Here is a 15,756-nt window from a genome sequence, read left to right as displayed (position 1 = left end):
TGGGGTCTTCTATGGAGCTGGAAATGTTCTATATCTTGAATTATTTGATACACATGTGTAACATAATATTCACCAAACCTGCCCCTTGCAGCTTTTGGTCTCTCTCTCTTTTTTTTTTTTAACCACATTTCCTGCCTCACTGCCACCACCACACTATCTACTGCAACTAGGTTCGCCCCTTACCACTCCAGTGAACATGTTCATGCTAATTAAGTTCATCAATAATTGCCCTGTTACAAAATTTAACGGATATTTTAAAATTCCAAAATTCCTTCACCTCTTTGATGTATTTCAAATCATGTATTCCTTTTCCTTCCTTCGCCACTTTTTTCTGACCCTGAATACCACAGTCTCTGCTGCCTCCCTGCCTGTACATTTTTTTTTTTTGCAAGGAGTTGTCCATGTCTTCTGATGCCATGTAGGTTGCCTTATATATATGATCCTTAAAATTCCTGCCCACCACCCACCTACCCACAGACAGATGGACTACAAGATATTTACTCTGAACAAATAAATTAGAAAAAGGGCCTCTCTATTTGGTTTAAATCAGCTGTACTCCAGGGAAGATGGCCTTGAAAATGGACACAGAGTCACATTTTAGCCTTATTTTTTTCCCTCAACCCTTGGCTAGGAGCCTTTATATGGAACTCCACCTGGAGAGTACTTCCTTGTGATACCCCATTTGGATTAATCTTGACAAAATCTCACTTATTACATGGTCTCAATTCAATTGTGAACGTCCCCATTAAACATTCCAGGCCTTGGGCAGCCTGGCAGAGGGCATCTGCTTCCTCTGTGTATCTTTCATCCTCCAGTGAAGCAGCTGACACAGCGTATTCCAATTGTTTGTTTGTCTGGCTCCAATCTAAACTGTAAGGGCAAGGAATGTGTATTTTCCATGTTATAAACTCAGTAACATATACATATATATATATATATATATATATATATACACACACACACACACACACACACACACACACGTATATGTGTGTATAAACACAATCAGTAAATATTTGTTGAATAAATGAATGAATAAATCCAGTAGCAAATGAAGACAAAATAAAAATATCTACAAGAAAAATACAGTAATTTAAATGATAATGTAAGATCCAAATTTGGGAAAATTGGAATCTCTAGAGTTTTGAAAAGTTGGCCGGGCAGGCGTAGTGGTTCACACTTGTAATCCCAGCACTTTAGGAGGCCAAGGCGAGTGGATCACTTGAGGCTAGCAGTTCGAGACCAGCCTGGCCAACATGGTGAAACCTTATCTCTACTAAAAATACAAAAATTAGCCAGGTGTGGTGGTGTGCGCCTATAATCCCAGCTACTCTGGAGACTAGGGCAGAGGAATTACTTGAACCCAGGAGATAGAGGCTGCAGTGAGCCGAGATCATGCCACTGCACTCCAGCCTGGGCAACAGAGAAGACCCTGTCTAAAAAAAAAAAAAAAAAAAAAAAGTTAATTTTAGTTCTGTAGACTGTCAGACTAAATTAAATACTTAAAGCTACTAGAACTTCACTTATATTTATTCAATGTATGCTTAGTAGATTATTTATACCTATCAATGACTAATATTTTATAAACAAAATAAGAATGATAGTCTGAAGTGGCTTGTTTTATGAATTCAATAATTTACACTTTTAAAATGATTTTTTGGTAATACCAAAGGAGAGCAATATCATCATCTGTGTTCTGATATTACAGCAAGAAAGTTACAAGTAAAATTCACTAACTCATCCATGAAAATAAACAATGGCATAGAAATTGACTTTGAAGATATTTTGCAACATTTAAAATTTTTGTATTTTGAATTTCATTTCTGCGGCAAAACTTATCTTTTTAATTATGAAAACATATTTAGATTTAATAATTGTGTATGAGCACATTTATTATACAAGATATTGTGCCAGACACAATAGGTTACATACAAGAATAAGTAAGTTATAATCTCTGCTTTCAAAGCATTCCGTCTCAAGGGAGAGAGATATGCAAACAGAGCTATGAGCTGAGACACAGAAATTACTTGGATTGACTTTCTGTAACATCCTCTTTCAACAGCGGAACCTGAGACATTACATCATCACCAGGTGTTAGAAACTATAGCAAATTTGTATTAAAATATGGCCATTCAACTATTATTTTGGAGCAATTCTTGGATTGGATGCTTTCTATGTTTGGTAAACAAGCTTTGAGGAAGAAATAGTAATGGAATCCCTTTATTTACAAACATTCTCATAGCTAGGTTTTTTTTTCAATATTGATCAAACAAAGAAACTTGGTCTGTGCATCTTTACTGCACTTCATACTTGTCTGTTCATCTGGCATGTGATCTCTCAGGAAAGATTCAATGCTCAGTGTCACAACTGAGGCTCTTCACTTACGTTGGCTCTTCCCTTTGTACTTACGTTGGGATATGTGTGTGACATTTCAGTGTGAGATGATTACTTTGCTCTGTCTCTGTCTCTTTGTTCTACTTCTACCCTCACTTCTACCTCTCAGTTTCAGAGTTGTTAGCCCTCTTGAGCAGATGAACTACAGCAACTTCTCTGCCTCTAAAAGTTCCACATTTTGAGGTACACTCAGACACAGAATTGTAGTGGGACACAGATGTGAAAGTTGAGGGTTTAGAGGTTTAAAGATTCTTCTTCTCTATCTTGTTGTCTCTGAAAAACATCCCATCTATCTGCTCTCCAAACTTCAATCTTTCCCCTCTTAATATAAGTGCAATTTACCAAAAATGATATGTTTTCTTCTAAATGAAAGGGAAGAGAGAGCAATGAGAAAGAGAGCAAGAGCTAGGGCACACTTTTTTTCTTTGTCAACTTATGTAGAGAAAATGGGGTTTTAGGAATGAGTTTGTTCAAGAGGTAAATGATGGAAGATTTTTAATCAGAATACTTTCTGTTGTCTGCCATTACAAAAATTTGTAATTATAATTGTACTTAGCTAACTGACTGGTGTTTTATATGGGGTAATATTTAGAGTCACTTTTTTCACAATTAGGTTGTTTTCAAGTTTTTCTGAAATGATGAGTGATAATATGAAGTTTATGGGCCGGGCGCGGTGGCTCACGCCTGTAATCCCAGCACTTTGGGAGGCCGAGGCGGGTGGATCATGAGGTCAGGAGATCGAGACCATCCTGGCTAACAAGGTGAAACCCCGTCTCTACTAAAAATACAAAAAATTAGCCGGGCGCGGTGGCGGGCGCCTGTAGTCCCAGCTACTCGGGAGGCTGAGGCAGGAGAATGGCGTGAACCCGGGAAGCGGAGCTTGCAGTGAGCCGAGATTGCACCACTGCAGTCCGCAGTCCGGCCTGGGCGACAGAGCGAGACTCCATCTCAAAAAAAAAAAAAAATATGAAGTTTATGAATAAAATAAAATATATCTGATCGAAACAAAGGAACAAAAAGGTCTTTCATTTAAACGATTTTTTCCTTCTATTTTGTTTTAGTCTTGTTTTATTCATTTTTAGCCTATCACTTAAGGTATTTAGGTGAGGAACATGTAAACTATTATGTACAAGTGACAATGGAGATCTAATCTATGCTATTGAAAAACTGAGGGTGAATGCAAAGACATTGAGAAGGAAGAACTGATGGTTTCAAGTAATTGTGTAAAGAAAGAGGATGGCAGTCTTCTTGCCTGAGACTGGGAAACCAGGAGAAGGAACAGTTTGAAAGGAAAACACTGAGTTTGAAAGTTCTTCCAATGACTCATGAGAAGCACTCCAGAATGCAGTGAAAACATAGATCAGAGTATTAGGAAAGAAGACAAATTTTTCATAGACTTTTGCATGGAAATGACAGTTGAAACGTTGACAAATGTCTGAAATTACAAACCAAAGTGAAGTGTTTTAAAAGAGACAATATTGGAGGCAAGAATGGGAGGTAGATTGAGGAAAAACATCATAAATTTGGGAAGACAAGAGAGTCCAGGTTGGTAGAAGGCAGGGCAGAGAAGTCAGAGAAAGAAGAGGTTCAACTATGTCACTCGATGCTAATAGGAATTGAGAAGACTGGAATATAGAATAGATCCAGGAGATATCATGGCCCAAGAAGTGCTAACATAAGGAAAAGTCAAACTATTTGAAGACTTATGGAAAAGAGTTGGGTAAAATAGTTATACATGAAAGCCAGAGGAAATAACTATTGAAGAAGTATTGAGAGACTAGTATGACATCAATAATCACAAATAGAAGGCCTTGCCTTAAAAAGGAATGGTTTGTCTTTCTCTGATGTACACAATGGTGATTATATACAAGGAGTATTTAATAATAAGGGAAAAGAGTTGAGGTTGACTCTCATCAAAATTTTCAGTATAGCAGGAGATTAAAGTATCTGCTTAGAGATATGGAATATAGTATATGTTTGAGGGCTTGAAGCAAGATGATTGGAACAGGTGATGTGTAAATTAGAATTGAGCCAAAGACTGTAGAATCATTTTTAGTATTCAACTAAGATTGGTTAGCACAAATTTAGAATGTTACCACCTTAAATGCTTTTTCCCCCAGAAATACTTCCAACTTAAGAATCAAGATAAATAGATAATATGCAGCTGAGTCTACCCAACGTTGAGTGAAGACATCAAAATATGACAGAAAAACAAGAGGAATGTGAAAACTTGTGAGACAAGGAGGAGGGACTTCCTTAACCTGTGTTAATGCAGAGAGTAAACAGATTCAATTTCACAATAAAACAAAAGCAAAAGAAATGGATAAGATGCTTAAGATTCAATTCAATAATAAGTTTTCAAATATTTGTGGGTAGTGGAAATTATAGAAGTTTATGTTCATATCAAAATTTTCTGTTCAGTAATACTTGAATTCTAAAAATCCAACTCAGAAATGTATCAGAAGTTCCTTATAAAACAAAACAAAATATGTATGTGCTGTATCAGTGCAATGCAGCATTTAGTATCATCCCATAAGAAGAAGCAAATGGAAAGAATGTCTTGAATGCAAATATTTACGTTAATCCTACCAAAAAGCAGAATAGCCTGAACTCTTATCAAAACTGCCCTTAGAAGTGCTTGAAGTGAAAAAAGAAAGGATAGTATATTCAATACGGGCAGATCCTAAAGCCAGACAGGAACAATAAACAATGACAAACAAGCCTGACTCATTGTGACTTGGAGAAGCAGAACTTGCAAGTTCAACAGGAGAGACACTAAGGTAAATGGATGGATGAAGAGAAACAGGAAGCAAATGCTGCAGCCATTCTCTAGTTTTTAAAATGATAACCTACCAAACTCCTGTTTCTATTTGGTTAAGTAGATAAGAAGGGCTTGTCTGTCTATGAGAGAGATTAAATAAAATATTTCCCAATTTTCATCTAAAGAAATAAATATTATGTATATTTCATCAAGGGAAATGGAATAAGAGAGCTGAAGATATTAGCAAAGGAGTAATTATAATGGAATTTATTACAACTTCAGCAGGGGAAAAATAATGAAGTACATTGAGAAATTGGGAGAAGAATGTGGTAGGGATGTACATGGATGCATCTCAATGCAATGGATTTTTGCATTGAGACAAAATATTCTTATGGAAGGGGCACTTGCAAAGCAGGAAGGAAAGATGTTTTAATTGGAGAGTGGGGTTTTAGCATCAGAGATTTTAGAAATTAGATGAATCTAAAACTGTTTCCTTGAGAAATGGAGATGGAATGGAGGAAACAGTCATTGGGATGAAGAAGTACAGATCAGTGTGTAAGCTGTGTCCTTCATATATGTTTTGAAGCCTTCATGTATGGAGACAGCAATTGAAGTGGAAAAAATATAAATCTAGGAGTCATCATCAACACGTTAAATGGCCGTAATAATTAGAACTAAAGAAACATCTGTGGGATCATTAACCCTTGCCAGGAGCTGTAAAGTGCTCGTCTTCATTAACCCCAACACGTATTTCTTGACAACTCATCTCCAAAAACTAGGTAGAAGAGAAGTATTTATAACTCTTGTTATATATAGGTTGTTTTTCCGAAAAGTTAGCTCTCCAGTGGCTGTGACTGGCACACTGGGCAGGTGAAAGGTCCTGAAAATAAGGTTCTTGTGCAGGCATGTTCCAATATCAACAAGGAAATGGCTCATTCACTGTGAAATTACATGATGATAAAAAATGCTGCTTCTGCTGTATAAAGAATACCTAAGCAAGGGTGGAGTTATACTCTCAGGAGGGTGAGTGAAAGATGGGGCAGTGTAAAGATGAAAGCAAGAGGACATGTGTTGCTCAGGAGTCATGAGGAGAGGTGGAACTACTTGTATATCTATGTAAATTGGGAGAGCATTGTAACACTCCAATCCAGCATGACACAATAAGCTAAGGTTTGATTATTTAAGTTGTTTTATGTCTTTACAGAGGCTCATATCTAGTACTTAAGACTCATGAATGCCATGTAATTATTCATACCAATTTTTTAGCTGTCATTCTATTTGCGTGTGTGTGTGTGTGTGTGTGTGTGTGTGTGTGTGTGTGTGTGTGAAAAGTAGCTGGAACCAAGTGAGTAGCCAGAACATTGGCAGGTTCTGCAATGTTCTGAGATAAAAAGCTGCAAGATCTGAGATACTATGAAGATTTTGAGTCAAGAGTTCGAGATTTAAATAAATGACAGTGAGATTTAAATTAACGACCAGCAATAAGAATGGAGAGGGAATGTTCCATCTTGAAGATAGGAGCCTCAAAAGAGGTTTTACAGGAAAAATCTATACCTTTAAAAGAGCTCTAGGGAGCAGATCAGACACATACTTCAACTTCCTGCTAGGAAATGTCAGGTTGCTGACAGGAAAAGTAGCTTCCATTTGAAAAGACTTAGAGGGAAGCAGCGATTTTAGGAAATACCTCATTTCAGTTAAAGAAAGGAGTTGGCAAATAAAAAACTAAAACTATGTTGCTATTATTTAAATGTTTGTTCCCCCACAAAACTCATGTTTAAATTTAATCGCCAGGCAGTATTAAAAGGTGGAACCTTGAAGAAGTGATTAGGCCATGAGGGCTCCAGCCTCATGGGCGGTGTTGGTGCTGTTATAAAAGGGCAAGTTTGGTTCCCTCTTGCTTTTACTTGCCCTTCTCCTGCCACCATGAAATGAAGGTCACCATGAGGTGCTAGCACCTTGATCTCAGATTTCCCAGTCTCCAGAACTGGAAGCCAGTAAATTTCATTATAAATTATCTAGTCTTAGGTACTATGTTATAGCAGCACAGAATGGACTAAGGCACATGAAAAAGTTAATTGATCACAAATTGGAACTTCCAGAGGATCCAGAAGTTCTGCAAAGGCTGAGAAGACTGAAGTTTAGAAAAACTATTAAGAGAGGGAAATATTAATAAAATATTAAGAGGAGGGAAAGGGGAGATATGGGCTTCCAGGAGTGACCTTGTAAAACAGGGATGGGAGTTACAGTGGAGGTCATAACAGTGTCTGACAGGAAGGTTGGTGAAGGATCACTTCTAATACAGGGGTCCAGATATTTTCTCAGTGCTTCAGCAGCAGTAGCAGCAGCTCTCCATAACACTCTGGGCACAATTTCTTCAGATAGTTTTTGGTCAGCTACCTTGAAAAAGCACCTCCAAGGTTTATATCTTAGTACTACAAGTAAAAATAGATTTAAGATATATCAGTATAAGACAGAGTATGGTAATAATCATAAAACAGTAACTTCTCTAGCAATTGTTAGCATGCACATTTATTACAAAATCCTTTAGGTTAGATCTTTTTTGTTTTGTCTTATTTCTCTTTATCTCCCAATCAGATAATTTGTCTTTTAACCAGAGTTAAAGGAAATGGTTTCTTTATCCAAGAAATTTGGAATGAAGACTGAGACTGAGTAAGTAGGTCATATCTGGTTAAATCCAAGATGGCTATGGAGTGCATATTTATCAGAGGCCCTAAGTGCATGTACTAGTTAGAAGATTAAAAGAGTCATTTTATGGGGGTTCAGAAGTTTTGTACTTTTTTTCAGGGCTGTAACTAATTTAGAGAGTGAAATAGAGATGCAGATTATAATCTAAGTAGGAGGAGGACAGGGCCACCAAATAATGATTCCAATAGAGGATCTTAAGGACCTCCTACAATTATCTTAATCCAGACATCGTAGAGTCAGGTTCAACCAACATTTGCTGAAAGTCTATCATGTGCCAGGCCACATTGCAACTTATCACCTCATTTCAACCGTATCATAATTTCTGTTGTTACTATTTATCTCCTCACAAAGGATAAATGATTCACAAAATGTCAAGGTAATACTTACATCTTTTGACTTTAAGTTTTGTATTTTTCCTACTTTATCTGGATCTCATTCCAAAATAATAAAACAGGAAAAACAAATAGGAAAGGAATTTGAGGCAAAGAGAGAATTAGGATAGGAAATTAAACCAAAATCATGACTAAGATTAATAAGTTCTCCCTGCTCGTTTTTTGCTAGTGGTAGCGTTTTGAGTTTACTAGCAATCCATGGGAGATAGAGAACGAGAGAGATTTAAAATTGATTGTCCAACAAAGGGGAAAAGTAAGAGCGAGGAGAGGAAAAGAGAGATAGAGAGAGAGAGAGAGAGAGAGAAAGAGAGAGAGAGAGAAAGAGAGAGACCTTTATCTCAGTACTAGGACATAAATGTTCTCACATAGGTCCCCATAGAGGACAGTGTAAGATAGTGGAGCAAAACCAATGCAGAATTTGGTTGAATGACAGAGTCAGCATAGGGATATCTCAGAACAAACACAACTTAAAGAACATCATTTTGAGGGTGAAGAATTGCAATCCATCCTTGGTTCATCATGAGATAAATATCACAGTTTCTTCAAGCAGATGCCTGGCTTTATATATTTTTGACTCTTTAAGCTCCCTTACCATCATCAACAAATTAGTAACCAAACCCATTTGATTAAACACTGAGCTTTATATCCATTCCTTTATATTTATTCCTACTGCTAATGAAAGGGCGTGGGCCATTATACTTGAGGGTTATCACAGCTGACTTTTAGCCAGTTTTCTGCTTTAGTTTTGCTTTCTTTCAGTCTGTTCACCACAGTGCAATCTCTTTGGATTAATTTGGTGTTTTTCTTTTTGCTCTTAAGATAAATACAAATGTTGTGAATGTGATTTCCAAAACTATGTAAATTATGCATATTATTGAATTTTTCTGGGACCATTTCTTATTGTTCTCTATTTCGAACATTGAAATTAGATATTGACCAGCACACTCTTGCTCTGTCTTTTTAAACATTCTAACCCTTCTCTCAGATATCTTTTTTTCTAAGAAACTTTTCAATGCTCCACTTTAGTTATATGCCCTTTCTTCGTACTCTTTTAGTATCTTACCCTGGCTTCATTATAGTATTTTTCACATTAATTCTAATCTTATATTTTTTTGAGTTATCACACAATATGAAAAAAATTAAGCACTTTGTTTCCAAGTATATCCCTAGCACCTTTCTTTTTTCCTAGTATATAGTAGAAGCTTGGTAAATATTTACTGAACAAATGAATAAATTAATAAAAGGTTAAGTGAATAACCATCAAAGCAATTAACCATACCGTAAAAGTAAAATAAATATAGGAATTAGCTCATGATATTGCTGCACTGTTTCACTCCAACTCCCATACTGAAGTGGATAAATAACTTCCACAAAACTTTGGTCCATAACTCAGTGCTGCTTTGTGCCTTGGTCTTTCTTAAGTACACTGTTGTAAACAGAGCTCTTCTTTTCTCTCAGACCTCTCACTCCTAAGTTTTAACACAAATTGAAACTTATTCAAAAGTATTCTCTCTCTGGACTTTCTTTTACCTAATGAAGATTTATTTTACATGAGATTTTTAGTCTCCAAGTGAAGACATTAGTATGAGCCAAAAAATGGTCAATATTCATCTATTTTTACAATGAAATGACTATTCCATATATTTAGTAATATATTTTATATATTTTAGATCTCCAATAGACTGCACTGCTAGCACTTCAAACACAATTGAATACGTCTGAGTGCATGACCAGGTTCTTTGCCTTGGACAGCTCCATTTTCCTATAACATTTAGGTAGATCCTCTAGCACTCACAAATATTATATAATGTATAACTTATGATAAAGTCCATAAACAATTTTATCAATTAGGATATGTTTTTCCTTTCTAAAGCTGATACTGTCAGGAACAAGAATCCTTTTATAGTATCTTTTATTTCTTCCAATTTAGGAAGAATATTCAAATCCACTATTAAGCCTGTCACTTATTTGGAAATTATATTGAATTTGACACAAATGCAATACATTTTTCTGATATGACAATATTTTCCAATGTATATAATCCTTGGAGGTCTTCACAAAAGTTTTAAATTGCCTTAATTCAATAAAGATCTTATTTGTTATTAAAGCATAATAGATATTTAATGTATTTTTAAAACTTAGGAAAATAGATACACTGTAAATTCACATTGAACTGATAAGTGATCATCAAAGATGAAGTGGCATTTACTCGGGAAGTCAAAAAGAAAATGAATCTAGAAACATATGTCTTAGAGAAAGCAAGAAAATGTGACGTTAAAATATTTCACCTTTTCTGGCTACTCTTCTAATTCTTTTTTCCATTTGTCTCCTAAATTAATACCTAAATACTAAAATGTAAATAGCAAAATAAAGGATAAACAGTTTCACAATTGTGTGCAACCAACCATCTCTTTAACGTTCACAAATTGGAAATATATATATATACATATATATATCTTTAATATTGTACAAGTTGTTCTGTGAAATATCTGTAGAAATCACAGTTTCATGCTACATGAGTTTGTGGTTGTGTGTTTTTTAAAGAAATACTTCAGCAGCTTACAATGTGATCGTTATCAAGAAAGTAGAATTTTTCTGAGGGCAGTGAAGGGGCATGTTTGTAAAATCTGTGCTGCAGAAATTGCTAGTGCATAAAAGAGGTGCTTTAAGGCGTTACTTCATTTTCTTTCTAAACACTTAATAGAGATTATGATTAACTCATATAACGTTTTAGATTAAGGTGTTTTAGTAAGAGTCCAGGATAAAACCAACAAAAATTTCACTATTGCCAATGATAATTCTCTAGTGGAGTTTAAACTAGTAATGATTTTCAATTAGTATAACAGAATAAGACAGATGTAGACATTACAACACAAATATTCGGTCTTACTTGTCAATAGTTTCTAGTTCCTTAGAAGTAGTTCATCAATTTAAACATATTTTTGAGACTACAATTAGTTTATCTGATTTCAAGAATATGGTACACATTGATGGTAAAAGAGCTTCTATTAGTATCCTTTGAAATGTTTATATTTAACCTGATAAAAGTTATTATTATTATGAAGATTTCTTACAACTTAACAGGAATTTTTCTTTTTGTGAAATTCAGTAATTTTCGCAGTATATGACTAGCCACACATTGTTTAAGAATTCCATGTTTTCGTTTGATCTCTCTAGTCTCTGAACTTTAATTTTGGGGAAAGAAAAATGAGCTAATACATGAGCCAAGGTGTGTGCTGGCTTGGGTTGCAAAATTCTGTGAGGAAGAATCCAAAAGCAAACCAGAAAACTTTCACTTCATTACAACTGCATTAGAGTAAGAAGTGTAGTCTCCTCTCATAGTTGTTTTATGAGGTGATAATGAAGGGAAAATTCTCTGGCCTAGACAATAACACATATTTTAAAGTACGTTAGAACAGATCACTTCAACCTACCCAACTCAGCTATAGAAAAGGGTTTTAATGACATCTTCTGGCTGCGAATAGACCTTTTTAAAATAAAAAGAATGACAAATCAAGCATATTAATGGATTGATAAAACGTAACGCTACCACACTACACTTTCATACTCTCCCACCGTCCTTTCTCTCCCTCTCTCTTAACAATTACCAGGCTTTTTTTTTTTTTTTTTTTTTTTTAATACACAGAAGCTTTCGTTGAGCATATCATGGTGATAGTTGTGATAATAGTAATCCAGATACCCTTTATTGGGTAAAACAATCTCATAATAATCTCATAATAGTCTTTACGTTTAGTTTTTAAATTTAAAATCACTTCCTCATGCATATTTCATACATCCTCCAAATTCTGTAAGAAAAGTGAGGGCTCACTAAATTGATTCACTTGTCCAAAGTCACACATTTACTAAGTAAAGGAGTGGAAAAAGAAGCCCCCAAAACAGAATAAAAGTGAAAAATATATAAAATTGTTGGTAAAGCTAATAGTTTAGTTGGATTTACATGCTTCAAGGAAGATTAGTTCTTACACTGAATAGTAAATAGAAGGTACCAAGCAATATTTAAAGAACAAATGAATTAAGGAATTAATGAATCAAATGATCTACTTATTATAGCTCTGCCTTAGATGAGTTTCTAGAGATTTGAGCTTCTTGTATATATAAAAGTATAGGGAGACCCGGAAAGGGAAATATTACGTATGATCTAAAGCAAAAAATATTCTAGTTAAAAAAAACTTTGTTTATTTAAATAGAAATAAATAGAAGAGTTTGGAAATAGAAACAAATTTAAGTACACAAACATTATAGATTCTAACTCACACCACTCAAATGGAAATTATTTTCTCCTTTCAGAAAATGCTAATATGCTTCAGACCACAAATGATACTTTCAATCTATAAAAATAAGACATTTAAATAACAGTGTAAATAATTATATGAGCTGTGATATTAAAAGTGCTGCTTTATATTCATAATATATTAAAATATTAGTTGAGGAAGAAAAGTGGAAAAATAGAAGACCAGGCCTTATTTTGTTGGTTGGAATTTTGAAGTATTAATATTTTATTCTATGAATTAAATATTACTACATTTAAATGTTATGTTTAAAATGAGGAAATATTTTTTAAACAGAACAGAAATGGTGCCTCTGTAAAGTGAATACATTGATAATGTTGACAAATGAATGTGGAAAGCTGTTGTTCAGCTGCCAATTTTTTCCAAGGATAGGTAATTCAGGCCCCACTTTTATTCCTAATAGTACATGCTTAGATTTAATGTTGAATGAAGCATGATAGAAGGACTCAGTGAAGGAGGAAGGATAAATGCTAATTAACTTGAACTGATCTGATGCTCTTCATTAGTGCTAAATATTCCTGAATTGCCACTGCCTACAGTTCCAAAACACAAAATCTCCCAATCTAGCTTTGCATATTTAGTAGCATATGGAGTCTTGTCAGGCAGCCAGGAACTTCCTCATCTACTTGATTCTGAAGCACGGGGTTGCCCCTAATTTAATACCTTGAACTGATTCTATTTAGGTTGTAATCTGCCTTAATTGCTATTAAGATATTGAATTGTATAAAACAGCTGTTAAATACCATTTGTGACTTAACTAGAATCATTATGTGGAATAGAAAAAGGCATTAAAAATTCAAAATCACAGTTTATTTTGAGAGCTAATTTCTTAATTAATGGTGTTTCAGAATTTTTCTGAAGTGTTTCAGAGTTTCTGAAGTGAAATATTCAAGAAGGTTTCTAATTAGAAGATGCATTTCAGAAGTTTACTACCAAAATTAAGAAACAATATTCTGAAAAGAAATGCACTTTGTTTATTACTCAAGAAATGTTAAAATATTTTATTCCTTTCATTTCATCCAAAGTGTGTACATTTGATGAAAGTATTTACTTGCATAAATTTTATTAACACAGATTAATGGGGATAAATTCATGCCAACTGTTGTAATAGGGGCTTTCTTGCAGGGTATATCACAGGAGTATTTTCAGGTGTTTTCATGGAACCAATTCTGACATCTTAAAATGCCCAGGAAAATGGCCCAAGAATGTGAAATCAGATTAATATGAAAATACTCTTCATGGTGTGCAAGTGATGACCTACTACAAAGTGCCTGAGACCTTCTCTAAACTAGAACTCCCATGGATCTAGTCAGACATTGCAATTTCTGCTAGGTTTACAGAGTTCTTTAACGTCCAAGGAATAAATTCAAGGGTGTGGGAATATTATATCACCACTGGACACCTTGAGAGAATAATATGTGAAAATCTCCAGAAATTGAAACTGTAACAGTGTTGTTACTAGAACTTAGGCAATCTAGACTATGCAATTGTGTCAGTGAAAGAAAAAGTTATATTAAATTAATGGAGTGATCAGGGTAAATCATCTCTTGATCCTAGACTATTTGGAAACAAACTATATCTTCCACCAAAATCTTTCAAAGGTCTTCTTTTTGAAATGTTAGAGATCAGCACATTTTCTTCTAGATTAATGTGATATCATATTTATTTTATGAATGACTACCTTTCACAAGAGACAGCTGAACCCTCGTGTGGCCATTCATAGAAGTCCCTAGTTAAGGAACAAGTGATTATGCTACCTTTGCACGGTCAGGATACCACGGCCATTGAACATAAGTCACTGGGTAGGCAGTGCCTCTAATACTGGTAATGCTAGAGGTGATGTTTTTGGTAAACAGGCAGGGCATGATTTGTCGAGTTCTTTTTACTTTTTGCAGTCCTTCCTTAGAGCATACCTGTGTTAGGTTAAAGGTGTAAATAATAGGGTGCTTATTATATCATTTATGAATATTAGGCTGTTAACTGTCAGTGGGTTATTCTGGTCTGATGTAAGCTTATGCAATGGAGAATGTCTTCATGTTACTTATACTAACATTATTGCTTCTATTAAGTAATGGATTAGTTTATGAAAGACTACCTTTCATAAAATAAATATGATATCACATTAATCTAGAAGAAAACGTGATAGTCTCTAAAATTTTGACAAGAAGACCTTTGAAAGAGTATTTTCATATTACTCTGGTTCCACATTCTTGGGCCATTTTCCTAGGGAATTTTAAGATGTCAGAATTGGTTCCATGGAAACACCTCAAAGTAGATATACCCTGCAAGAAAGCCCCTGTTACAACAGTTGGCAGGAATTTATCCTTGTTAATCTGTGTTAATAAAATTCTATTTATTATGATTACATTTTGATACATATAAATATTACAACATGTAAAGTTTACATGTAAATCCTACATTTTTCACAGCCCTGTTCATGCTAATTTTAAAGCTCTCTTAATCTTACAGTAAATGTGTGGTATTTTTGATTCTGATTTTAGATGTTCTATTTTGTTCTTGTATTAACCATTTTTGATGTTTTGACATCTGGGGACTTGCTGACTCTGAAGGGATTGTTTGTCCCAGGCCTAGCCAATTCCTGGAATAGTAAATGACTTTCCCGGAAGTGTGCCTTTCCTATACAAACCAAACAAATCAGAGCTCACCCATCCCCATCACTTCCTCTATTTTGCTTACACTCTGGGCCACTATTTCCCTTCCCTGATCACTCCAGGTGCCAGTACCAGAAAACTAGAGACAATTCCTACACCCCAGAGCCCACTGAAATTATTTAAACAGGCCAATCTCATGCCCGCTTATCCTGCCTTATCCATTCCTTCCTCTGGAAACCACAATAAAGGCTTCCACCCACATTATCCCTTACTCATGTCTCCTGACTGATCACAGTGCCTTCTCATGTGGCCCCGCCTGGCATGACATCTCCATTTCTCTTGGTAACTGTGAGTTACAAACTGTCATTCAATGCCAGTCATCTCCTGATCTGTTGGCCTCATCATACCTTACTAATAAAACCTGTTTTAAAACGGTTCCATTGATGTGTCTTTCTAATCCTACTCTTACAAACATTTTCATTTTTGTGATTTTTGTACTGTTCTCAAACATCTTATAACACAAAGGCCCTCTCCTTATTTTTTAAATCCCATCTTAATATGTTTGGTTGACTTAGGATCTG

General features: G+C 35.0%; 1 long non-coding RNA gene across 5 annotated transcripts in view, besides 1 other annotated feature; it reads left to right on the top strand.

Moving 5' to 3' along the window:
• LOC102724858 (uncharacterized) overlaps positions 1 to 15,756 on the top strand; it is a 175,348-nt gene that overhangs the window by 92,230 nt on the left and 67,362 nt on the right. The window lies entirely within an intron of this gene.
• Positions 14,223 to 14,517: a silencer, noted in NCBI's record as "tiled region #13261; HepG2 Repressive non-DNase unmatched - State 24:Quies". NCBI's record gives its function as "represses a minimal TATA promoter and a strong SV40 promoter by Sharpr-MPRA in HepG2 cells {active_cell/tissue: HepG2}" and the evidence as "EXISTENCE:reporter gene assay evidence [ECO:0000049][PMID:27701403]".

This window comes from Homo sapiens, chromosome 8 (genome assembly GCF_000001405.40).
Source record: "Homo sapiens chromosome 8, GRCh38.p14 Primary Assembly".
Lineage (NCBI taxonomy): Eukaryota > Metazoa > Chordata > Mammalia > Primates > Hominidae > Homo > Homo sapiens.
This window is presented reverse-complemented; position numbering and strand designations above follow the sequence as displayed.